The sequence below is a fragment of the Homo sapiens genome, chromosome 16 (assembly GCF_000001405.40).
Source record: "Homo sapiens chromosome 16, GRCh38.p14 Primary Assembly".
Lineage (NCBI taxonomy): Eukaryota > Metazoa > Chordata > Mammalia > Primates > Hominidae > Homo > Homo sapiens.
Window position 1 is genome coordinate 86,558,097 of NC_000016.10, and position 25,603 is coordinate 86,583,699.

Consider the following 25,603-nt stretch of genomic DNA (forward strand, 5'->3'; position numbering starts at 1 on the left):
ATTGGAATCATACACTATGTAGCCTTTTCAAACAGGCTTCTCGCGCTTAGTAATATGCATTTAAGGTTCTTCCATGTCTTTCCATGGCCGGAGGGTCCTCTCTTTTTAGTGCTGAGTAATATTCCATCGTGTTGGTGTCCCACGGTTTATCCATTCACGCACTGCAGGACCCCTCAGTTGCCCCTACGTTTTAGCAAATACACAGAAACCTGCTATAACTATTCCTGTGCGGGTTCACGGAGGATTGCAAAGCTTGTCACAGGCATCTTTTAGAACCTGGCTGGAAGGAATAGCGTAGAAATGGTGAGTCTGCCTAGGCATGAAGAGCGTGGCTCTGAATCTCCAAGCTGTGTTCCCTTTTACGGTGAACTTTAAACATCATAGTTCTCCGAAACTACATCCAGTAGCTTCAGTTATACTTTCAATCTACATTCAAAGTAATGGCAAAAACCGCAATTACTTTTGCACCAACCAACTTAACAAAATGTAAGATTGTTTAATAAGCTAATAACTGAAAAGGTATTTGAAGAATTCTTTCCCTCACATTAGAGGTTGCCAGATTAAATACAGGTTTCCCAGTTAAACTTGAACTTCAGATAAAGCGATTTTTTTTTTCATTTTTAGTATAAGCACGTTCCATGCAGTCTGTGGGCATTGTTATTTTCATTTGTTCAAGCTGGCAAGCCGAAAGGGCCCCCAGTCTGTTGCCAACTTCTCCAAGAAACTCACACGGCCTCGTCCCCCCTTACTCATTCTTCTGAGCTTGCTCAGCCTGGCCCCTCCCTCCCTGCACCATCCTGCGGCAGGGACGGCACCGCGGTGGAGGTTTGAGCCTGCTCCCTGGCTGGTTCAAATCCCAGGTCTGCAGCTCTCTAGCTGCGTGAGGCCGGGGGCGTCACTGAACGTCTCTGTGCCTTGCTTTTCATTTGCGGAGTGGAGATAGGAGCACCGTTGGCATCCGCCTCTCCACGCTGGTGACGGTGAAGTGCCGGATCCATGCGGCCCGGAGAACAGCACCTAGAATGCAGGGAGAGCTCTCTACGAGCATTGACCTAAAATAAAGTTTCAGCCTGTCATCATCCATGCGCCTGCCACAGCTTGGGAGCCAGGGAGCACTTGACGATGAGTCCCCATTTCTTATGCAGTGTCTGCCTAAAATAAGTGCTAGTAAATGTTTGAAACAAATCCTGGGCTTGAGCCACAAATGGGAGGCAAGGCCTGTGAGTTACGGTTGGGCAGGCAGTGAAGTGGGGGAGGGCTGCGTATCTCTGAAGCCCCATTTGTTCAATGTATAGTTAAGAACATGGAGTCTGTGGCCGGGCACGGTGGCTCATGCCTGTAATCCCAGCACTTTGGGAGGCCGAGGCGGGAGGATCACCTGAGGTCGGGAGTTCGAGACCAGCCTGACCAACATGGAGAGACCCCGTCTCTACTAAAAATACAAAATTAGCTGGGCGTGGTGGCACATGCCTGTAATCCTAGCTACTCAGGAGGCTGAGGCAGGAGAATCACTTGAACCTGGGAGGCATAGGTTGCGGTGAGCCGAGATTGCACCGTTGCACTGCAGCCTGGGCAACAAGAGCGAAACTCTGTCTCAAAAAAAAAAAAAAGAACATGGAGTCTCATGGAGTCTGTGTCAAGCAGAGCTGTGCACAGGGCGGACCAGGCCCCTGCCTGTCTTCCCTGTATGGGGGTGGTGAGGCAAACAACAGATAGAAGACTGAATGAGACCACACCAGGCAGGGGAGCCTGTGCCACTGAGAACATGAGTGAGGAGAAAGGGGGAGGTGGGGGGGGCAAGGTAAGCGGATGGCTGGGGGAGGCCTCGGAGGAGGGGGCAAGGGGGCAAAGAATTGAGATGAGGGACCAGGCCCGGGGCACAGCAGGCCCAAAGGCCATGCGGTGGGTCCAGGCTGGGCTGGCCATGCAAGCCCCATGTCGGGATGCACACAGGCAGAGGTGGGGGCCAGGGCCAGGGAGTGTTCTTGGCTTTTACGGACTCCTAGAGGTGGACAGCACCCAGTGACAGTGGTGGTCGGACTCCCCTGGGAGAGCGCTCTGCACTCTTGGTCTTATTCAGTGAGACCCACTGGGGTCCCACTCAGTTATGCCACTGTGGGCGCCAGCCCTAGTCCCAGTGGTTACTGGAAGCACTGGCTGAAGCTGCTCCCAGACTGTGGCTTTTGAGCCTGGCTTATTCCTTGGGGCTCAGAACACCCATCCTACAGGCTGCGCATTTGATGAAAATTAAATCGTCCCCCTCGCCTCTTTCTCAACCTGTCATTGTCCAAACACTGAAGTCCTCTCTGACCTCCCCAGGGGCAGCCTGCTTTCCACAGGCCATTACGGTGAGTCCATGTACCCCACAGGGTTAATCACAGGGGTTCAAGTTAGTGATATAAAAAACTCAAATCTCATACACATTAAGTTGTGTGTGGTCAGAAGTCATGGCTTCATGGATACACCATTATGGATGTTTTTCATTTAACTTTTTAAATCTCCTCTAATTTCCAAGTCCCTAATTCTTTTTTTTTGGGGGGGGCGGTAGGGGGGATGGAGTTTTGCTCTTGTTGCCCAGGCTGGAGTGCAATGGAGCGATCTCAGCTCAGCGCAACCTCCACCTCCCGGGTTCAAGCGATTCTCTTGCCTCAGCCTCCCGAGTAGCTGGGACTACAGGCGTGCACCACCATGCCCAGCTAATTTTGTATTTTTAGTAGAGACGGGGTTTCTCCATGTTGGTCAGTCTGGTCTTGAACTCCCGACCTCAGGTGATCCGCCCGCCTTGGCCTCCCAAAGTGCTGGGATTACAGGCGTGAGCCACCATGCCCAGCCCCAAGTCCGTAACTCTTAATCTCAAAGAGGCAGCAAAGGAGTGGGTTAAGAGATCCCAATTTCATCACTTGGCAGCAGCAACACTTAGTTTAGTTATTTAAGATCTCAGTTTCCTCACCTGCAAAATGGTGGTATTAATAGTACCTACCCTAAAAGAGGAGTAAGTGAGAGGTCGTGGCCAAAACGCTTAGCACGGTGCATGGCACAGGGTATGTACACATCACTTTTCCCCTTATCTACTAAGGAGAGAAATCTCGGAAACAGTCGTACACTCACTCAAGCACTACTTGCACACACATCTTGTGCTGAGGTACTGGGCAGTGCACTGGGGCTGCAGAGAACAGAGGACAGTCATTACTTACCTGGAAAGACAGTATGAGGCTGCCGAGCAGATGCCTGGGCCCAGGGAAGACTGATCTTCCTGTCCCCTGGGCGCGTTGGGGACTTATGACCAGCTCTGGCCTATGAGCTGTGAATAGAGGTGATACATGTCACTTCCAGGCTGGAAGACTTAATTCCCAGGGCCGGATCACCTCTCTCCCCTGCCTAGATGACAGGAACAGATATGATGAGAGGTGGTCTTTGAAAACTCAGGCTCCTGAGTGACTTTGATGAACAGAGCCCTCTGCTAAGCTGGGGTTGGCTCAGGGTGGTCACTGAGACTAAGTTTCTTTAAAAAGAAACATACATGTATCTTTAATATTATGATTGCTTGAGGCTAAGAGTTCCAGGCTACTGTGAGCCATGAGCCATGAGCCATTACACTCCAGCGTAGGTGACAGAGTGAGGCTCTGTCTAAAAAAAAATAAAATCCCACAACATCTATAATATGGAATGTCTGGCATCTTTGGTTAATTGTGGCAATGCCTGAATTATAAAACAGATAAGCTCCTCAGAGAATGTGCCTTTTTTTTTTTTTTTACCATGAATTATTGTGATGAACTCCATAGCTATTGATGGTAGTTTTCCAGAAACTTCCAGTAAAGGAGGAGAGCAGACGCTGGACTAAGTTAGGCCCTCGCTAAACATTTTGCAAATTCCTTCCATGGAAATACCTTCCTTTACTGTCACATTTCTTTTCAAATTTTCACAGTAACAAAAGTGTTTTACTCCCATTTTTTATTTTGAAAAATTTCAAATTTACAGAATTGCAAGAACAATACAATCAATACCCAGGCACCACGGGTTCAACAACTGTTCTCATCTTACTACCTTTGCACGACCTTCTGCCCTCCTTCTCCCCTCTGACCCCACCTTGGTTGAATCTTTTGAATCTTCTCCTTCTTCTTCTTCTTTTTGAGACAGGGTCTTGCTCTGTCACCCAGGCAGGAATGTAGTGGTGCAATCATGGCTTACTGCAGCCTCAACCTCCCAGGCCCAAGTAATTCTCTGCCTCTGCCTCCCACATAGCTGGCACTACAGGTGCTCAGCACCACACCCGGCTTTTTTTTTTTTTTTTTTTTTTTTGTATTTTTTATAGAGATAGGGTCTCACTGTGTTGCCCAGGCTGGTCTTGAAACCCTGAGCTCAAGCGATCCTCCCACCTCAGCCTCCCAAACTGCTGGGATTACAGGCATGAGCCACCATGCCCGGCAGGGTGAATTTTTTAAAGGTTGCAGAGATGATGAATATCAGCCCCAAACATTTTGACACGTACCTTCTAAAAGCAAGGACATGCTCTTACTTGACCATGTATAATTATCGCACGCAAGAATCTTACCCTTGATTCAAGGTTATTATCTCATACACATCCCAGATGCAAATCTTCCCAAGTCTCCTCAAACCTGTCCTTGGTTGCTGTTTAAAATATCCCAGCACTTTGGGAGGCCGAGGCGGGCGAATCACGAGGTCAGGAGATCCAGACCATCCTGGCTAACACGGTGAAACCCCGTCTCTACTAAAAATACAAAAAATTAGCCGGGTGTGGTGGCGCACGCCTGTAGTCCCAGCTACTCGGGAGGCTGAGGCAGGAGAATGGCGTGAACCCGGGAGGCGGAGCCTGCAGTGAGCGGAGATCGTGCCACTGCACTCCAGCGTGGGCGACAGAGCAAGACTCCGTCTCAACAACAACAGGAAAAAAAGAAAAAAGAAAAAAAAATTTCTTCCGCCTAGGATTGAGGGTTGCGTTTACTTGTTGAGTTTCTTTAATCCTTGTGACCAACAGCAGTTCTCACTACCCACCCGCTTCTGTAGTCCTTTCTGGCCCTGCCCTTTGTCGATGGCGCAGCATGGCTTTCACTCACCGGAAAACTCACACACAGTAAAATGAGCTTGAACTGAGTTTTAGAAAAGACACTTTTTTTGTCCCACAAAAGTTTAGAAGCCGGATTACAATGGATTTTTAGGAGGTGGCGCCGACTTTGTGTAACCCAAGGGCTCCTCGGTTCTCAGGCAGCTTCTGGAAGCCTGGGACTCCTCTGCCACCCGATCCCTTTCCTCAAAACCAAGGCACCTCGTGACCCCAGAAAAGAAATGTTTGAAGGATATTGAAATGAATGAATGGGAAATAGTGAGACAAGAAACAAAACTCCTTTCACTTGTCCCCTCTTTGAGTTCTCTGTTGTACCTCAAAAGTAGAAGTGGCTGCTGCCCAGTTTCAAAGTCTGCCTCTTGTTCAAGCCAACCCTCTAAACACACGACCAGCACAAACAGCTTTCTGATGAATTCCCTGAAGCTCACGCCACACCTCGGGCAGAAAGACAGCTGCAGCGGGAAAACATGGACGAGGCAATTTGTTCAACAACTCCGGGGGAAGAAAATGCAGACTTCTAGCCACCTAAGAGGCATAGATTTTATTTGGGGAAAACCCCAGCAAGTTTCCCTAGAGAAAATTTCTTGCTCCCCGAGCAGTTTCAAAGACATTTTTGTTTCCCAACAGATCATGTTCTTGACACGTTGCGAAGTTACGGGAAATGTTTTTTAATCGACGCGATGCAGTTTATCTCCTTTCTCTGCTTTTACAGATTTCTGAAGGCTCCATTCCAGCCGTGCAATGCCCAGGAGTATCCACAAGGTGTCAGCACCTTCATGATAAGCAGGGCGGGCCGGGCGGTCTTTTTCTTTTTCCTTTTCTCGTAGTAGTTCCCTGGTTGGCCTCAAGATGACGCCAACACCCACGGAGTCCGCCCAGCCGCTCCAGGTGCAGCGGCCACGGGCCGGGAGGAGCGCAGCGCGGTGGGGGCGGAAGGCGAATTAAATACCTTTAGGCTTTATCGCCGCTTATTATTCCAGGAACACGCGAGGCCCTCTGGGACCCGATTCCGCGTTCGGCTCACTGACTTACAAGGTCAAGAAGGGGGAAAATCAGCCAGAAAGTAGCAGCCCCCCATCCGAAATACCCTGGCAGGTTAAAGAAAAGCTGGGAAATACGGTTTTTGCAAAGTCCAGGTGTATGGAAGGCGTTGTTTTAATAACCTGAACAAACATCTTTCCCGGAGTCCCACTGAGCAAACAAGAAACCTAATTCCAGGGGTAAAGGGAAGTGTCTCTCTCACCTTTTCTGTCTTGATGAGACGAATTTCTTTCCCCTCCCCTTTTCCTTTCTTTGGGGCGGGGGAGGGTGGATAATATATTGGGCGACTCGATTTAGGTGTTTGTTTGTTTGTTTGTTTGTTTCCCCAGATGACATTGGTTTAAACCGGGACACCCTTGTGAATACAAACGTAGGCAGCAACTGCCATTTTGGAATTTATTTTTTCATAGTCCTTAGCTATTTTAGGTTTTGCTGTGATAAAGCTGTTTCTCTCTCTCTCTCTCTCTCACACACACACACACACCCCTCGTAAAAGCAGAGTAAATAATATTCCTCCAGGAAGCCTACAGGCTGAGGAGTGTTTCTTGATCAATAGTTTGCATTTCCAGTAAAATCGTGACACGAACTCAGTGTGCCTGTCATGCGCTGCAGGAGAAGGGCACTTTTTGCTAGTCCTTTTTTTTTTTTAAGCTAGATGCGGAAATACTAGCTTATTAAAAATAATAAAGTCATGGTGGGAGTTTAGGGTTGGGGCAGAAAGCTCAAATCATTTGCCTGTGAGCTGAGAACTGGGCAGCTTTATTTTACTTTGTTTCAAAGAAAGAAGAAAAAGGATCAGGTTAGAAAAAGAGCCCAGAATACTCATAAAAACAATGTTTCAGAAGTGGAATATTCAAGGTAAAGGAACCTGATTTGTAGCTTCCCTTTGGCTTTGAATTGATCAGGAGACAAAGATAATGCATCTACATTTTCGTCTTCTGTTCTTTTATTGGAAATAAGTGGCACGCCCCATTGCCTTCTAGTCGCCTCCCCGAAGCGAAGAGGCCGAAGCGAAGAGGCCTGGTGGGTTGTCTCAACATCCTTTTGCTGAGAATCGAATACGCAGCCGATGAACAGCCAGGAAGGGTGCAAGGAAACCTGAAATACAAATGTTCTCCCTGAAGCCCTCTTCCCTGCCCAACCAGACCAGCAACTTCCAAAATTCTGCCCGTGTTTAGCCTTGTTAAAGGGGTGTCTCACTCCTTCAGGGAAAGTGGGAAAAGGGGATCTGATTATTGAGGTGTGGAAGGAATAAATAATCAGTCCACAAATAAACAAACTGTCCGGGATTCCTAGAGGGAAGGAGAAATCCTTGAAGGAGATCCAAGTCGCTCCAGGTCTGCCTGCCGAATAATATCATCCCGAAGGGATCTTGAACCGTTTGCAATCAACCGCTCACCCAGTCTTCCCACGGAGCGCGCTCCCTAACTCACCCTACCCACCCAACAAAACAAAAAAAAGGCTGAAATATAGAAAAGCAACTTGGAGGCTCCCAGGGGGACGTTGCCAGGAGCAGGAGGCAGGGACAGCGCCCTAGGGTCGGTGTTAGCGGCCGGCGCCGGCCTGGGCCACGGGAAACGTCCACGCTTGGTGCCCGCGGTGCGCGGCGCTCATTGCGCGCGCCTTCGAGCCAAGCCCCCGCGGAAAACAGGCTCGGGTTTCTCCTCGCAGGGCCCAGGAACTCGGCTCTGCCTGGCCCGGGTGGGTCGCTGCATTGTCCCGGTCTTCTGGGAGTGCGGGGTCAGCTTGTTAGAGGGAATTTCTACCTGGGAAAAGGGAGACGAGTTTCGAAGCTGAAGTTGGTAGGCTGCGAGTGTCCACGCGGGAGACGAAAGGGGGAAATAGCAGAGTCACTTCACCCTTTTCCCCAAACCCCACAAAACTGCTCGCAGCGACGCGGATGATCTACCGAATTCCCCGCGAATTCGGAGGATTAAGTTGTCAGTCAGCACGTTGCTACCTTCCCCTCTATGCACTCCGCTGCCTGGCTCCTCGGCGGGGAGCGAGGGAAACTCAGTTTGTAGGGTTTACCTCTAAAACCTCGATAGGTTATCCTTGACGACCCCGAGCCTGGAAACTCCCTGTTGATGATTAATTATTTGATTAAATAAGTATAACATCCAGGAGAGGCCCTGCCATTCCAATCCAGCGCGTTTGCTTTGAATCCATTACACCTGGGCCCCCATAATTAGGAAATCTAATTATTCGCTTCATCACTCATTAATAAGAAAAATGTCCCAGGATCATTGCTACTTACAAGGTCTTTGGGAGAGATATTTTACTCTATTAATCCATTCTATTTTATATTTCAAATTGATTTTTTTTAACAGAGGAAAGTGGCTATCTTTTTGTTTTGGGCATGTGGGCCCATTCACCAAAATGTGATCATAAAATAAATTTTAATAAGATATAACTTTTTAAAAAGTTTTCAAGTGAAGACGGAGTCGCCGCGGAGGCCGGGGCGGCGGGGTCTTAGAGCCGACGGATTCCTGCGCTCCTCGCCCCGATTGGCGCCGACTCCTCTCAGCTGCCGGGTGATTGGCTCAAAGTTCCGGGAGGGGGCGTGGCCCGAGGAAAGTAAAAACTCGCTTTCAGCAAGAAGACTTTTGAAACTTTTCCCAATCCCTAAAAGGGACTTGGCCTCTTTTTCTGGGCTCAGCGGGGCAGCCGCTCGGACCCCGGCGCGCTGACCCTCGGGGCTGCCGATTCGCTGGGGGCTTGGAGAGCCTCCTGCGCCCCTCCTCGCGCGGGCCGAGGGTCCACCTGGGTCCCCAGGCCGCGGCGTCTCCGCTGGGTCCGCGGCCGCCCGCCTGCCCGCGCTGCCGCCGCCGGGTCCTGGAGCCAGCGAGGAGCGGGGCCGGCGCTGCGCTTGCCCGGGGCGCGCCCTCCAGGATGCCGATCCGCCCGGTCCGCTGAAAGCGCGCGCCCCTGCTCGGCCCGAGCGCCGCCGCCCGCGCACCCTCGCCCCGGAGGCTGCCAGGAGCCCGGGGCCGCCCCTCCCGCTCCCCTCCTCTCCCCCTCTGGCTCTCTCGCGCTCTCTCGCTCTCAGGGCCCCCCTCGCTCCCCCGGCCGCAGTCCGTGCGCGAGGGCGCCGGCGAGCCGTCTCGGAAGCAGCATGCAGGCGCGCTACTCCGTGTCCGACCCCAACGCCCTGGGAGTGGTGCCCTACCTGAGCGAGCAGAATTACTACCGGGCTGCGGGCAGCTACGGCGGCATGGCCAGCCCCATGGGCGTCTATTCCGGCCACCCGGAGCAGTACAGCGCGGGGATGGGCCGCTCCTACGCGCCCTACCACCACCACCAGCCCGCGGCGCCTAAGGACCTGGTGAAGCCGCCCTACAGCTACATCGCGCTCATCACCATGGCCATCCAGAACGCGCCCGAGAAGAAGATCACCTTGAACGGCATCTACCAGTTCATCATGGACCGCTTCCCCTTCTACCGGGAGAACAAGCAGGGCTGGCAGAACAGCATCCGCCACAACCTCTCGCTCAACGAGTGCTTCGTCAAGGTGCCCCGCGACGACAAGAAGCCCGGCAAGGGCAGTTACTGGACCCTGGACCCGGACTCCTACAACATGTTCGAGAACGGCAGCTTCCTGCGGCGCCGGCGGCGCTTCAAAAAGAAGGACGTGTCCAAGGAGAAGGAGGAGCGGGCCCACCTCAAGGAGCCGCCCCCGGCGGCGTCCAAGGGCGCCCCGGCCACCCCCCACCTAGCGGACGCCCCCAAGGAGGCCGAGAAGAAGGTGGTGATCAAGAGCGAGGCGGCGTCCCCGGCGCTGCCGGTCATCACCAAGGTGGAGACGCTGAGCCCCGAGAGCGCGCTGCAGGGCAGCCCGCGCAGCGCGGCCTCCACGCCCGCCGGCTCCCCCGACGGCTCGCTGCCGGAGCACCACGCCGCGGCGCCCAACGGGCTGCCTGGCTTCAGCGTGGAGAACATCATGACCCTGCGAACGTCGCCGCCGGGCGGAGAGCTGAGCCCGGGGGCCGGACGCGCGGGCCTGGTGGTGCCGCCGCTGGCGCTGCCCTACGCCGCCGCGCCGCCCGCCGCCTACGGCCAGCCGTGCGCTCAGGGCCTGGAGGCCGGGGCCGCCGGGGGCTACCAGTGCAGCATGCGAGCGATGAGCCTGTACACCGGGGCCGAGCGGCCGGCGCACATGTGCGTCCCGCCCGCCCTGGACGAGGCCCTCTCGGACCACCCGAGCGGCCCCACGTCGCCCCTGAGCGCTCTCAACCTCGCCGCCGGCCAGGAGGGCGCGCTCGCCGCCACGGGCCACCACCACCAGCACCACGGCCACCACCACCCGCAGGCGCCGCCGCCCCCGCCGGCTCCCCAGCCCCAGCCGACGCCGCAGCCCGGGGCCGCCGCGGCGCAGGCGGCCTCCTGGTATCTCAACCACAGCGGGGACCTGAACCACCTCCCCGGCCACACGTTCGCGGCCCAGCAGCAAACTTTCCCCAACGTGCGGGAGATGTTCAACTCCCACCGGCTGGGGATTGAGAACTCGACCCTCGGGGAGTCCCAGGTGAGTGGCAATGCCAGCTGCCAGCTGCCCTACAGATCCACGCCGCCTCTCTATCGCCACGCAGCCCCCTACTCCTACGACTGCACGAAATACTGACGTGTCCCGGGACCTCCCCTCCCCGGCCCGCTCCGGCTTCGCTTCCCAGCCCCGACCCAACCAGACAATTAAGGGGCTGCAGAGACGCAAAAAAGAAACAAAACATGTCCACCAACCTTTTCTCAGACCCGGGAGCAGAGAGCGGGCACGCTAGCCCCCAGCCGTCTGTGAAGAGCGCAGGTAACTTTAATTCGCCGCCCCGTTTCTGGGATCCCAGGAAACCCCTCCAAAGGGACGCAGCCCAACAAAATGAGTATTGATCTTAAAATCCCCCTCCCCTACCAGGACGGCTGTGCTGTGCTCGACCTGAGCTTTCAAAAGTTAAGTTATGGACCAAATCCCATAGCGAGCCCCTAGTGACTTTCTGTAGGGGTCCCCATAGGTGTATGGGGGTCTCTATAGATAATATATGTGCTGTGTGTAATTTTAAATTTCTCCAACCGTGCTGTACAAATGTGTGGATTTGTAATCAGGCTATTTTGTTGTTGTTGTTGTTGTTCAGAGCCATTAATATAATATTTAAAGTTGAGTTCACTGGATAAGTTTTTCATCTTGCCCAACCATTTCTAACTGCCAAATTGAATTCAAGAAACCGATGTGGGTTTTGTTTCCTGTACAATTATGAGATATAATTCTTTTTCCCATTGTAGGTCTTTTACAAAACAAGAAAATAATTTATTTTTTTGTTGGTGGATAAAGAAGTCAAGTATCTGATACTTTTTATTTACAAAGTGTGATGGTTTTGTATAGTAGGTTCCACCCTGAGTATTCCTAAAAGAAAAAAAAAAAAAAAGCTTAAAAACTCTAACTTCATCTGTGTTTGTCTTACGTGGTCTTAATCGTTGTACTTACCTTAAAATAAACCCATGTTGTTTTTTCTGCCCAAAGTTTGGACAGTGTGTTTGTGTTGTTGCATTTTTTACAAACGAGGTGTGTTTGCAAACCCACCTGCTTTGATTATTTTTGTTACACAGGTGGGTATATGTGTAGACACATAAAAACGACCAGAGAATAGGAGCACACACCTGCTGTCTTGTTTAGTGACAGAAAAAGGCTTTTGATTAATTTTAAAATCCCACTCTAGGATTTTTTCTTTTCGAGAAACCGCCCAGTTGGAGGGGGCTGCCTGAAGGACCGGACCATGAGTTTGCCGTGATGCATTTTCTTAAATGCACAAAAACATGCTAATTGTCAAAACAAACAGTGCCACTCCATCTCAGTGTCCAGCCGTCCCCAGTTTAGGAGGTGAAGGAAGGGAAGAATAAACATTTCCCGTTTGCTAACTGCAACCCAGGGTGAGTCCTGCTTTCCCCCGATTTTATAAAATTTGAGCCTCTTTGCCTGCTTTAATAGTTTTCCAGAGAATTTGAACTGGGCCAATGAAGGTCTGAAGGGGACGGATTTTCTAGCGTTTGATATCCATCCCCCTTAGCGGCCAGATCAGAGGGGAATTTCAGACTTTATTACTTCTCAATGTCATGTCTAAATCTACACCCTCATCGCAGTGAAAAATTTTAAAACCTCATTACCCTTCAAAAATAATTTATGATATTTTTAGAGTTCTAAATTCAAGTTTTTCAATATGTTAAATAATAGAGATTATTTTTTGTTTTCAATGTTAATATCTCGTCTTTTACATTTTTAATAGTAACATAGTTTTTGTGAAATGTAGCTGACGAAATGGCTTTATTATCTATTTCAATGGCTGAAGTCCACCACTCCCCTGCTGGCCTCTATGTGTGAATTTGGGGACCAAAGCTTCATCAATTCCCACCCCAGCAGGTGAGCTGTACCTTGCTAATGCTGAAGTTCTTTGTGAGCTTAACGTTTCAAGACCAGATGATTTTGCTAAAGGTGATTTTGCTTGATGCAGTGGCGCTGAACGTAACCCGGGTGTTTTTCTTGTTGTTTTCAACATGGCACTTTATCTCCACGCTATGTTGAAATAGAATTAGGGGAAGCTTAAAGCATAATAATTTTCCCCACATGTGCAACACAGACTCTTTCAATCTGTGGCCCCAGAGGTGGCACACAGTTAAGACTTGGCGGCTGTCTCATTCTTTTTCATAATGTGCGGGTTCCCGGGTGTCCGGGTGCTAGACTTTCAGCAGGCCCCAGGCCAGACGGGCTTTGGTTGAGTGAACAGGAGGAGGAAGTTAAGGAGGTAGGGGTGGGGAGAGACCCTCTCCAAGCTGCAGAAGAAGGTGGCCCAAGCTCCTTGCCTGCGTCTGCCGTGATGGTTTCATTTTACTTCTGCTCGCTTCATGCTATTTGCCCCAGGAGAAGAGGAGAGTATTCCAGACGGTAAGCGAGCTGGCTTTTTCCCTTCCCTAGACGTTTTAAAGAAATCTTTCTGAAAGCTTGCCCTCATCGTAAGCTTTGAAACCGTTGGTGTCCTGTTAGTGGCGAGGCCTGAGAGACACACGGAAAATAAAGGAGAGCGACGGTGTGGCTGAGAGCCCCCAGCTCTGCTGTTGAAACTAAGCTGGGCTTTTGCACCTTTAGGAAGCCTTTTTAAAGAAGTCCTGCTGTGTGGGGGCCGGAAGCCCAAGTGAGTGGCCCTTGTGGAGGTTATCGGGAGGGGTTTTTTCCACTCCTTGGGGAACGTGGGCAACGGGGGGATTGTATCTGAAGCTTTATTCAGGTCTTCGGCGGCAGCAGAGTGGAGAACCAGGCCCTTAGTGTGTAGCGGCCTGGGGATTTTGGGACTCATCTGAGGGCCCTGTCACTCAAGGTTTCCTCGTTTCAGTGGGGACAGGGATAGGTGCGGTAAGTGCTAGAAGGCCGGTGGCCCCTTGTGCTGTGAGCTGGCTCAGAGCTCTGTGCAGCCCCTGTCTTCTGCAACCCCTGCGTCCTGCAGTGCCTGTGTGGACCTCAGGCCTGGGGGCTTAATGGCCTCTGGGGCATCTGTTGCTCTCCCAGCAGAGTGGGAAGATTCCACAGCACGTGCTGTGAATAGCCAACGTTCTCACCAACAGTTTTGCATCTTGGCAGCCACCCTGCTCGTCTGCTGCCCAGTGTACAAAAAGTACGTGCCCGGGGCATTGGCTATTCTTGATTCACTCATCTACCACCTTTTCCTGTTGCCTTCTGGTCCTCAGGAGGTTCTGGGCCTTTCAAGGAAAGGTGGAAGGAGGTTGAGGATGGTAGGGTCAGAGTGTCTGCCACAGGCTGCAGGGACTCTGGGCTGGGGCGGCTCTGCAGACCACGCAAATGCAGTTTGCACGAAGTCTGTCTGATAACCCTGTGCCTTCCTGACCCAGTAAGAAGATATCGCAGGGCTAATCACAAAGGTGTGGCAAATAAAATGAAAGTGCCCGAACACCATGGCAGAGACCTTCCCATTGATTTAACGCTGCGTCCCTGGCGGGTTTTGGCTGGGTGGCTTCTGACTCTAAGCACAGTCCGGTTATGACAGATATGGGCCACCCGGAGAGACCCCCATGGCCTCTGAGCATCCCGTACATTCTCAGCCCCAGAGAGGCTATAGCCAGAGTAGCCTCCTCGAATGGGCCATCTTGTGTAACCTCTGAGGCTCCACCCCAAGTTCACAGCTTTCAGGAAGAGGGACTGCCTGCATCCTGCTGGCCGTGCCCAGGCCTCTGGAAGGCTGGGCTTGGGTCTGTGGTCAAAAGGCCATCACTGCTCTGGAATAGGTGACCTATCCCTGAAGATGCAAATCTTGCTGTGACTTTTGTCCGGGAATTGCTGGAGCACTGGGCTAGGAATGAGAAGACCACATCTTTCTGTGTGAACAAACCACTTCCCCTGCCTGGCCTTGGTCTCTTTATCTGTAAAATGACCAGGTGGCCAGGGCTGCGCTGCGCTCCCCTTCTGGGCATAGCCAGGGCTGCTGCCATGGGGCCTCACTTATGCTGCTGACCCTCCTGCCACCAAGACATGAAGATCAGAAACCAGACGCAGAAGAAAACACAGGGTCCTGGGAACTTCTGCGCTTGGCTCATAAATCTTTCGGGGGTCCGTCCCCTTCTCTTTACCCAGTGACTGCATGGGGGTTGCTGCTGGCGCAGGGAGAGGCTTGTGAACAGAGCTCCCAGCTCACCGGTGAAAATGAACCCTGTGTGCTTGTGAAGGTCTCCTCACTCCTCCTCCCCACCCCCATCCAAAAAAGGGGGTGGGGGTGTTGGGCAAGGTTGGTTGATGGGAACTTATTGTTAACTGAAAACATGAGCTGGGTGGAGCTGGAGACACCAAGATAAGACACTCATTGAAGGGTGGGCAGAGCCACGTGTCTGGAGAAAGTGCTGGGGTCTCCGAGCCTGTGGTTGGCACCTTGGGAACGTGTGTTTGCCTGGGTCCCTGGCTGACTCTCTCAGTGGGATGAAGGTGGGTAAGTAGAGACCTGAGGTTTTATGCCTTAGGTGCCAGTAGGCTGAGGCTGGTTGGGGGTCTGGAGTCCAGTGCCTTTGTTCCAGGTGAGTGGGACAGGCCGGGTCAGAGCTACCCAGAGAGCCCGCCCCTTGCCTCCCAGTGAGCACTTCCTTGCAGCACATATTTGAAATGCTTTCCCAAACTTTGAGAAGCGTTCCCTGCCTGCCTCTTGCATGGCCTCAGCTCACGAAGACGTTTGAAATGTTTGCTTTTTGACATAGGCATGTAAGGAAGGGGGCGGACGGTTTCAGGGGAGATTGGAAGGCTGGCAGCCGCTCTTCAGGGACAGCCACTGGGTCTGGGAAGACACCACCCACCTGTAATTTGTGCCAGGCTTTCTCTTCCCTTTTCAACCTTCCTGCTGTAGAGCAAAAGCAGAGGGCTAGGTTTGTCTGAGTGTCAGCCTTGTGGGGACTTCATCCTGGGTGGTGGGTGTGTGAAGAGGGAAGGGGGCATGGTTGGTAAAGCTGCTGGCATCCCAGACCCATTTAGGGGATGGAGCTGGGAGGCTTCCACCCCCTTTGTGTCCTGAGGTGCAGCTTCATGCTCTGGAACCTCAGTCTATGCCCACCCAGGCTGCGAGGTCGTGGAGACCCTGGGCCTCACCTGTCTCAGCGGCCCTCTGGCCCTGGGTCTCCATCTGTCTTGTGTTATTTTCACAGGTGGCCTTCCTAGTGGAGTCCCTCTCTCTAAGGCTGAATCCATGTGCACCAACTCAGGCCCTTACTAAGATTCAGGTGACATCAGACAGATCACCTTAAGCACTCTGGGACAGTCTCTCGGCTGAAAACAGTCATAGCATTGAGAGGGTTATCTCCGGGATTCATGAACGTCACACAGGTTGGCAAGGTGCTTCCATAGTGTCGTGTTCATAGTAAACTGTCATGACCAGCCATTAAGGTTTACGTGGAACACAGAAGAGAAAAAGAGGAAGAGAAAGGAATCTTTGGTCTGAGTGACCTGCATTTATCATACCGTGCCATGCAGCCCCGGCAGGGAATGCCACTGTGTCTGGGAAGATGCCACTCACCTTTAATTCTGCCAGGCTTTTCCTTCCTTTTTCAACCTTCCTGCTCTACAGGGAAAGCAGAGGGTTGGGCTTTTCAAAAACGCAGTGAGAGCATGTGCACCAACTGCCTCTGTTTAGAGCCTTTCGATCATTTCTGGGAACAAGGTGTGCTATAAATAAGTGCATCATTTGGGAAGTCCCGCCCAGCTTTTGGGTCTCCTTCTGCATTTGCTGATTCAGTGGGACCACCATTACCTTCATGTCCTGCTCACTGCCTCCCAAGAGAAGGGAGGCCCTGGGCCCTGCTACTCCAGCTCTGGAAATCTTCCACTCTTTTCAAAGTGGGCGGGGAGGGAAGGAGGAAGAGGTCTTCTGGGTTTTGGTGGAACATAAGCAAGGACTCTGGGATTTTCTTATAATGTCCTGAATCTCCCAGCTCCAGGGGTGCTGCACACCCTCTCCTCTCTGGAGGGCCCCTCTCCCACTGTCTACTCCAGACAATCTCTGCCTCTGAGTCCTTCCAGATACCTGAGCATGTCAGACCCCAGAGCACCCACTTTTGGAGGACACTCACGTGGGCTGTGGTCCCTGTGCGGCCATTTCCTACTTTCAGGGTCTTGGGGTGTTATGTGCCGAGCCTCAGTTTCATCATCTGTCAAATGGGTGAATCTGCCACGCCTGCCTTTCACAGATTTAGTAAGAGTTGGCAAGAGAACTTCCATGGAGCCCTGAGTGTCCACACCTGGTGCTATTGTAAGATTATTTTCTGTCTTTGGAGCACTTCCTCATGGGACACCTGAGGCAGGTTAACTTACAGGGCGTTGTTCAGTTTCCTGGTTTGCAAAATGGGAGCGACAAAGGTTTCTATTAGGGCTGCTGTGAGGATGAAATGGCTCAGTACATTCTAGTTATTCATATTATTATCATCTGTCTCCAATGTTTTTAGGTTGTCAGTAAGGTGAGGGGCTAAACCCTTCATCTTTCCACCGCAGCTCTTCTCAAACATGCTACACGCGGTTGAATCATGCATACGTATGTAACACACACACAAGTCGTACATGCGGTAACTGTCTTTACGTTTGGAAAAGTGATGCAGATGTTTGGAAAGCGACACAGATTACTGTTAACTCAGGTTTCTGCTTTTTGCTTTCCAGTGAGGAAGGTTGAGTGGATGGCTTGGGGCGCAGTGGGAGGAGCTCTTGTCTCTCACCCGTCAGCCTTTTTATCTGAGGCCGTTTTCATCACCAATGCCTGGTCTCTGATCTGCCTCCCTGAGGAACGCACATGCGCTTTGTCCCAGGACTGGGAAGGAGGCTGACTACCCTCATCCCACGCTGAACCCCGTTTCTGCTCAAGCCTCAGAGTTGGAAACTCCAGTCCTTCTGGAGCATCCGGGCAGGCCAGAGATCTCAGGCTTTTCTTGCAGGCTGGGAGGTGAGCCCTCACCAAGTGACTTCTCAGATGACGCGCTTTTCTGGGATCCGAGGCTTATGAATCTACAGGGAACATTCAGTGTCCCCATCTGGCTCTCTAGGACACTCGTTCTAGAGGCCCGCCCGGCCGTCTCCCAGCTCGGCTGCCCCCCGCAGGCCCTTCGCTCTGGCCTCAGCCAACAGAGCCTCCGCACGAGGGCGCATCCGCTCTCGGACTCCTAGGGCTTGAGCCTGCACTCCCCGGAAATATGGAAATTGCCCCAGCGCGGGGTTCCTTCTAACAGAGGCCCCTCCTAGGCTCAGGTTACAAACTCATCAATCACCCGGGAGCCCGGGATTCAAACCCGCTCTGGAGCGGGGCTGGGGCGCAAAGCCGGAGTTCTACAGCTGAAACCTCCCGGAGACTTTGCACACTTCTGCAAACGCGCGGGGCTGGGTGTGCGTCTCCAAACCGCGACTAGAGCGTGGGCATTTGTTTTTTGTTTTTTGGTTTTTCTCTCTCTCTCCTAATCTCTCTCTGTCTCTTTCTCGCTCTCTTTTTTTTTTTTTTTTTTTTGCTTTACTATCGGTGCCCCGCCCACCAGCCTCCCGTGTCTCCGCCCACGTCCCGCCCATTACCAAATCGGGCAGTATTTATCACCGTACAAATTCAAGCTCGGATTTGCCTTAGAGTTTAGAAGACGCGCCGGGACGGCGGGAGTTTCGGTAGAGGCAGGGATGTGCGTGCTGGACTTCGGGTGCCGCGTGGGGAGCTCCAGGAGGGGCTGTGGGATAGGAAGGTGGGGAAAGGGTTGCATAGTGACACCGGTTTATCTCTCGGTCTGGGTGTGTTGGAGCGAGCGCCGAGGCTGGAGAAGGAACTGGATCCAAACTTGAGCTTGCTGGGGGCGCGCGGCCCCGGAGAGGTTGGGTGACCCCAGAGACTGTGGGGCCTGCGGGTTGCAAAGGCGCTGGCATTGAGGTTTCTTCACCCCAAGTTTGAAAGGGGTACGCGGGTGAGAGCGAGTGGTAACGAAAAGACAAAGCCTCGCCCCTCCTGGCCAGAGGTTCACCCCCAGGACCTAGGCGGGCGCGGCCGGGCTGCTCGCTGGACCCACGTTAGAGGAGCAGGGCCGCGGAGGGAGGCCCGAGGTGTCCCAGGGACTGGCCTGTCGCTCCCGCAGGCAGTGCCGGTACCCAGGCCGGTTTTTCCACCCTTCCTGCGACTTCCTTTTTGGTATTTTAAATTTACCCGCTCCCCTGCGGTCTACTTATTCCATGGGCTGGATACCCAGGAACCCCAAACACACGGGTTATTTCTGATTTTCTCATTTTGAAAAAGGATGCCCGCCACGTTTCCGTGTTCAGAGGCTACCTGGGCACTCACATCCTCAGCCGGGTGTGGCAGCGGCAGACACTCCCCCTACCCCTGTAAGTGCCCTCGGTGCCTCTCCCTCCTTCCTGGCCCACTGGCAGTGGGCCATTTCTACACCCACCTGCCATCCTCCCCCTTCCCTCATCTCTTTGACATGCTCACACGATTTGCTCAATGAGACGCCAGTTATCCGAATGTGTGTGTGTGTGTGTGGGTGTGTGTGTGACAGTGTGTGTGTGTTTTAATATTCAGGGGGTGGTCATAAACAGGAAGTAGTCACACTAGGTGCCTCTACCCTTACCCTAACCGGTGGAGTGGGGAGGAGAGGCCCCCTTCGAAATCAGCATGATTCAGGATTTTTTATTCAAACAGTGATGTGGGAAAATGTAAAATGAGATGGGGGTGGAGGGCCGCGTACACCCCAGGGTGGGTGGATACAGGGAGAGCAAGCAGGCTTCCCAAATGCCTAATGTAATCACGGGCCAGCTGCATGCACTTGTAAAGTTGTTATAACCCCCTCCTTGTTATAAACAGGAAAGCCCAGAATATAAAGCTGGAGACCCACATTCACAAATACCAGGCCTCCCGCGCCAGCTGCCACGGCCTCCTTTTATGGTGTTCCTCTCTTGCAACCTTGGCCCCATCAGGAGGACCTTACTTTTGCCCCCGGTTCTCTAAATGGGTTTATTTTGAAACCTTCCTCAATGGAGCTGTGGACCATGAGCTCTTCCCCAGGCCCCCAGTGCCTTAGGCCTTCCCTTCCAGAGAGACTGGGCTCCCAGAGTCCACTTTCCCTCCGATTTCCGGAGAGCCCTGGAAGGGAGGGTGTGGGAGAGCAGGTCCCTAGAGAGTGCCACCTCCTACTGGGTCTGCCACCTGTTTTTCCAGGGAGGGCCGCATCCCCTTCTCAGCAGACACTCAGGCTTCTTAGATACTCTCCCTGCCCCAATCTAAAAGGTTCCTAGGACCTCAGAAAGTGTTTTACTAGACTGTGGCATCTCGATATCTCCGGTTAAGCCTGGGAGAAGAAAAGACCTTTTGTGGGAGGCCCTGGCGTTATGGGGCTCCCCCAGGCCAGCGTAAAACTCATCCCTGCACACCCACCCCCATCTCCACCTCTCCTTCCTGGCTCAGCAGACCCTGCTCTGAGCCACCGCAGTCTACATCCTGCCTCACTGACTGTGTGTGCTTACAGCGTCAAGGGGTGGACGTGATATTTCAAACATCAGATCAGTGCGTTTATATATTGGGTGCCCGGAAATTTTTCCAAATAAACACAGCTTGATTCAACTTGGGTGGGCGGACTTATCAACAGACTAATTCTATAAACAAATGAAGGAATAGCCCCAAAACCGATTGGCTGGTATCAAAAAGACACGTGGAGGGAAAAGCTTGGAGTTTTTCAGCAATGAAATTTTAATTAATGTGGGTGGGCTGAGAACACAAGGACTGTTTATCATAGACAATTTATTTTCCAGGGCTAAGTCAACATATAACAGCAAACTTACAACAATTATTTAACATTTTTAAAGCCATGAAGAAGGGACAGAGCACGGAGCGGCCGGGGAGAGCGGCAGAGCCAGAGGCAGAGGCACGGCTGGCTCCCCGGGAGGGCCCTTGCGGCGCGGGGCGCAGTGCCTAGGCCGCCCGGGTCTCCTGCGTTGCGGGGAGCGCAGCGCAGGCTCTCGCTTGCCATGAGTCACCTCTTCGATCCCCGGCTGCCTGCCCTGGCCGCCTCGCCCATGCTGTATCTGTACGGTCCCGAGAGACCCGGCCTCCCTCTGGCCTTCGCCCCCGCGGCTGCTCTAGCTGCCTCGGGCCGGGCCGAGACCCCGCAGAAGCCTCCCTACAGCTACATCGCGCTCATCGCCATGGCGATCCAGGACGCGCCCGAGCAGAGGGTCACGCTCAACGGCATCTACCAGTTCATCATGGACCGCTTCCCCTTCTACCACGACAACCGGCAGGGCTGGCAGAACAGCATCCGCCACAACCTCTCGCTCAACGACTGCTTCGTCAAGGTGCCCCGCGAGAAAGGGCGGCCGGGCAAGGGCAGCTACTGGACGCTGGACCCCCGCTGCCTGGACATGTTTGAGAACGGCAACTACCGGCGCCGGAAGAGGAAGCCCAAGCCGGGCCCCGGGGCCCCGGAGGCCAAGAGGCCCCGCGCCGAGACGCACCAGCGCAGCGCGGAGGCGCAGCCGGAGGCGGGGAGCGGGGCAGGGGGCTCGGGCCCCGCAATCTCCCGCCTGCAGGCAGCGCCCGCGGGCCCCTCGCCCCTCCTGGACGGCCCCTCTCCGCCGGCGCCCCTCCACTGGCCGGGGACCGCGTCCCCGAACGAGGACGCTGGTGACGCTGCCCAGGGCGCAGCGGCCGTGGCGGTCGGCCAGGCAGCGCGCACAGGGGACGGCCCGGGGTCCCCTCTGCGCCCCGCCTCCCGCAGCTCTCCGAAGAGCTCCGACAAGTCCAAGAGCTTCAGCATAGACAGCATCCTGGCGGGAAAGCAGGGCCAGAAGCCGCCTTCAGGGGACGAACTCCTAGGGGGTGCCAAGCCTGGGCCCGGCGGCCGTCTGGGTGCCTCGCTCCTGGCCGCCTCCTCCAGCCTCCGTCCGCCTTTCAACGCTTCCCTGATGCTCGACCCGCATGTCCAGGGCGGCTTTTACCAGCTCGGGATCCCCTTCCTCTCTTATTTCCCCCTGCAGGTTCCCGACACGGTACTCCACTTCCAGTAAAGCAAACAATGGCACGGTTCTTCTCCCGGCCCAGCCTGAGCCTCCGCTGAGCGAAAGGCCACAGCTCCCACCGGCGGAGGATTTTAAAATGATCTTTGCCTGGGTCGGCCTGTGGGTTCAGGGAAGTGTTACCAACCATTGCGCGCAGGTGGGCGCGCTCGCCTGCCTTCTCCGAAGCAAACTTTTCCCAGCAACTGGGAGCAGCTACGGAGACTTAAAAGATCCCCGCGGGGTCGTGGGCACCGCACGTGGGCCCTGCAGGGACCTCCACCGCGGGAGATTCCTTGACGTTTGACCTGTCTAATGGAGTGTGGTCTTCAGCCGCCCACCGCAGGTCCTGCGAGTCCCGGGCATGCAAGGGCCCGCAGACCACCCAAGGCAGGCCTTACAGGTGCAGTTGAGGTCCTTTCGACCGGGGACCCCCGTATGACCGTCGCCTGCTTCGCTGTTGCCGTGTGGCTCAGGCCTTGGTTTTGAGCCCATCTGGGTGGTGGGTGGTCACAGCTGGGTTTGTTCCTGACTTGAAGTTGTGGAGGTGCCGGGGGTGACCCCGGGTTTTCAGGTTTTCTGAGAGATGTAGGGCCCGATGAGGATTTATGACCAATGTTCAGCTATAGAAGCTGATAACCACCCAGAGCAATAACACTTTTATTTTAAACAGAGACTTTTTCTCTTAATTTCTTTCTGGGTAGTAAAAAGAACATGTTTCATTCTTTGCATAAATACTTGACTCTAAGCATTGACCTTTGAAAACGCTTGTATTAACAATTTTTATTAAGAAAGTGCACTCTATATAACATCTTCTTGCATTACGATAGCTCATTAGCCAATACACATGCAGCTATGTAAGCCACAACAGCAGACGTCCTATCCTTTTGCTTTTGTTTTTAAGGGATCAAAATATTTCAAGGGATACCATGAGGAAGGGTGTGAGGGGAAGGGGATATGCCTTGGACAATGTCAGAGTTTTGATTTCCATGTTTTTTCAAGATCCAGGCTTGGTGGTCGCTATATTTTTCAGAAACAGATAATGAAAGACTACATTTAATTTAAAAAGTTGGGTGAAACAACCAAAAGCAGATGCAGAGAGAGAGAGGGATGAATGCGGGGGAAGAATAAGGGGACGTGCTGGTGTCCGCTGGAAGGGGCCTCTCTGGGCCCCAGAGGACCTGAGGTTTGATGGCAGGAATCTCCCAGACACTCCTGGCCCCCGCACCCCCTGCAGCCGCCCGCTCTTCCCTCCCAGCCCTGCCAGGCAGGCCTGGAGGCTGATACTAAATCAAAACCTTAAAGAGGTGACTGGCAGTCTGGGGAGGGGAGAAGAGGTCTGCAACGAAAATCTAATTAAGAACATTGAGATGTTCACAACCAAGTTCAGCTTGCAGCTTCCGGGGAAATGCAACCGACCTCTATGCCATCTCTAGCTGGGTAATCTTCGAGGCCCTGAAATGCAATTTTCTGAACCTCTAAGTCACTTTTATTTTATGTCATGTGATAAAGACACAAGTAGTCACGCACTATTGGAAATAGGTTGGGAGGGAGGTCTTTAAGATCGCTTTTAAAATAGTTTCCAGGACTTGTCTAAAAATGATGACAAACTTTGAATCCAGAGGGCCTGTTGGTCAATGTGTTGGAAAGGACATTTCAGGCCGGCAGAGTAATTGGATAATTCACAGGCATAGAGGTGACTTTTGGAAAATTCATTCTCCTATCCATGCTGAACCAGGCTTCCACGACTGGGTTCTACCCAGGCCAGTGGGAAGACTCTGGGAAACTTCAGGCCAGCCTTGATTGGAAGAACTTCCAGGAGGAGCCATTGCTGAGATCCAGGCTCACTGTGATTCACTGAAAATGTAGCGAAAGGGCTGTCACTGGATATTTTGCTATCCCAAACTCTCAGCCTCTGTGAATAAAGTTGTTTTTTCATTAACCTCTCAGTGACTGGTTCAGTGGATTACTGGAGGGAAATAAACAAACAGTGTAATAAGAAAGAGGAGACTGGGATTATATCTGGGAGTCGTGTTAGCATCTCAGGAGGCTCTGGCTTCTGAGGGGTAAACACACAGATGGAGGGGAAGGAGTGGAGAGGATGCCGGGCCCAGGAAGCTGCCTCCATATCAGAAAGCACGATGAGTTAATTCTGCCGTATTGAATCGGTTTTTAATCTTTCCTTTTTCTTTTTTGTGTTTGTATGTTATCTTGGGAGGTTTTGTTAATTTGTGATGGCTATGTTTTGAAGAAGCAAATAATTTGATACTGCAGTTTTAAAAGGGTCGTATTTTAAAGTTACTATTCCAAAAAGTATTGTACGAATGTTACTTTTATGACACAGAAAAAATGCAGATGTATCCACTTTGTGTGTTTATACATGCATAAAGAGAAATTCTATTTAATCCCAACTTTTGTCTGGTTTAGAAAAGCTAAGACAAGTGGATACTGAGGTCGTTTTTATGTAATCTATATAATTGCATGTGTATTCCTTCCTCCTGAACCAAAAAGAGGAGGTTTGGGTCTTACCAATCCGAATAGCTGTTCTATTGATCCATATTTAATCGTTGGCTCAAAATTATGGCTCAATAAGGTCAATAGTTTCTGCTCTTAATTAAAACAAAATCTCAGCTATAATTAGGGTGAGCCAGAAGCAAGCTTATCATTGTACTCTTAGGCAATCTGAAGGAATACCTCTCTGCTCTCATCTAAACAAAGGGAACAGATCTGTCTTCTGTAAATGATCTTTGGTTCAAGCCCTGATTACACACACACACAAACAAATACCCACACACATATGAGTGCACTGATCATAATGAGGATATGGCAGGCACATGTTTGATAACAAAGTGTGTATACATATGTACACGTTTATATATATGTATATACATATATATACATGAATGTGTAGGGGTGTGTGTGTGTATTTGTTCTGTGTACATGAATGCTCATAAATGTATCTTTTTTGAATATACCTGAGACTCAGATCAAGTACTGAGTCCTTTCACTTTAACCCAAGTATTGATACTATTTGAAAGATTTTGTTTTTCTATATAGTTTTTAAAAATAGATAATAATTTCTATATAGCTTTAATAGTTTTGTTTCTCTATGTAGTATGAACCAGGGATAACTTTATTGTTCTGTGTTAGTATAGTGAAACTGACAGATTTTATTTAAACATCGCGGAAGACACCCGCTTTGAGAACTTTTCCCTCCGTTCACAAGGACAGAGAACTTTACAAAGGACTCTTGCTCTGCCTGGCCTCATCTAGTTGCTGGCTTTTCTAGAAACAAACGGCCTCCTGGGCCTCCAGTGAACCATAAGAGTTTTGAGAACCTGAATAGGACCTTCTTAGCCATTTTCAGATTTAATTGTGCCCGTTTGAATGGTGGTCTTCACCATTTCACTCAAAGTGGTGAGTGTATGCCCGTGTGTATGTTAAAGAATTAGCCACATATAATTATTGTTACAGCTGAAAGCCAGAGCCAGCCTGCCCAGACCCTGGCAGGTTAATGTTAACATCACAAAGGTAGGTGACGTTTCCAGTAACCAGCTGCACCCAGGAGTGAGAAAATAAGGGGAGAGCCATGATTTTGTGCACTTCCTGGCTTCATGGTGGATGGAGTCTTGTTTCCATGAAATAAAGGTTGTTTCATAGAATGAAAAACATAAATGATAAAAAGCAAAGTTTGTCCATTAAAAATAAAAAGCGTGAGTTTGTGGAAAAGTAAGATTCTTTTGACTCACATTTAAAGCAGTTTTTTAAATACACCTGAATAGCCACATGACAAGCTCTCTCCTCTGCTGGTCCTTATCCAGAGGCCCCAGTGCTGAGTTCTTCAGGGCTAGGCAGGGGCCACAGGTGTTTACAGTGACCTGGAGTGGGGCCTGATCACTGGAGCGGGCAGTGGTGGGGCTTGGGCTGAATTGGGGTGAGGGAAGTTCTGT

At 51.9% G+C, this 25,603-nt stretch overlaps 2 protein-coding genes and 1 long non-coding RNA gene across 3 annotated transcripts, besides 4 other annotated features; 2 read left to right on the top strand and 1 right to left on the bottom strand.

Moving 5' to 3' along the window:
* Positions 7,049–9,665, bottom strand: FOXC2-AS1 (FOXC2 antisense RNA 1). The gene is made up of 2 exons (NR_125795.1): positions 9,521–9,665; positions 7,049–7,222 (listed from the first exon to the last, which is right to left on the bottom strand). It is a non-coding gene; the product is annotated as an FOXC2 antisense RNA 1 (long non-coding RNA).
* On the top strand, positions 8,733–11,632 carry FOXC2 (forkhead box C2). Its single transcript, NM_005251.3, has one exon. The coding sequence runs from the start codon at positions 9,240–9,242 to the stop codon at positions 10,743–10,745; it is 1,506 nt and encodes a 501-aa protein (NP_005242.1). The 5' UTR covers positions 8,733–9,239; the 3' UTR covers positions 10,746–11,632.
* Positions 8,868–9,452: an enhancer, noted in NCBI's record as "H3K4me1 hESC enhancer chr16:86600570-86601154 (GRCh37/hg19 assembly coordinates)". NCBI's record gives its function as "activates a minimal SCP1, AML or CMV promoter by ChIP-STARR-seq in primed H9 embryonic stem cells {active_cell/tissue: H9 hESC(primed)}" and the evidence as "EXISTENCE:reporter gene assay evidence [ECO:0000049][PMID:30033119]".
* Positions 9,453–10,036: an enhancer, noted in NCBI's record as "H3K4me1 hESC enhancer chr16:86601155-86601738 (GRCh37/hg19 assembly coordinates)". NCBI's record gives its function as "activates a minimal SCP1, AML or CMV promoter by ChIP-STARR-seq in primed H9 embryonic stem cells {active_cell/tissue: H9 hESC(primed)}" and the evidence as "EXISTENCE:reporter gene assay evidence [ECO:0000049][PMID:30033119]".
* Positions 12,245–12,746: an enhancer, noted in NCBI's record as "NANOG hESC enhancer chr16:86603947-86604448 (GRCh37/hg19 assembly coordinates)". NCBI's record gives its function as "activates a minimal SCP1, AML or CMV promoter by ChIP-STARR-seq in naive H9 embryonic stem cells {active_cell/tissue: H9 hESC(naive)}" and the evidence as "EXISTENCE:reporter gene assay evidence [ECO:0000049][PMID:30033119]".
* FOXL1 (forkhead box L1) lies at positions 20,453–25,382 on the top strand. The gene has a single exon (NM_005250.3). The coding sequence runs from the start codon at positions 20,628–20,630 to the stop codon at positions 21,663–21,665; it is 1,038 nt and encodes a 345-aa protein (NP_005241.1). The 5' UTR covers positions 20,453–20,627; the 3' UTR covers positions 21,666–25,382.
* Positions 21,313–21,934: an enhancer, noted in NCBI's record as "H3K27ac-H3K4me1 hESC enhancer chr16:86613015-86613636 (GRCh37/hg19 assembly coordinates)". NCBI's record gives its function as "activates a minimal SCP1, AML or CMV promoter by ChIP-STARR-seq in naive H9 embryonic stem cells {active_cell/tissue: H9 hESC(naive)}" and the evidence as "EXISTENCE:reporter gene assay evidence [ECO:0000049][PMID:30033119]".

What these genes read in the sequence shown, in the direction of transcription:
- FOXL1 (NM_005250.3), top strand. Translation starts at nt 20,628, where the DNA reads ATGAGTCACCTCTTCGATCCCCGGCTGCCTGCCCTGGCCGCCTCGCCC.
- FOXC2 (NM_005251.3), top strand. Translation starts at nt 9,240, where the DNA reads ATGCAGGCGCGCTACTCCGTGTCCGACCCCAACGCCCTGGGAGTGGTG.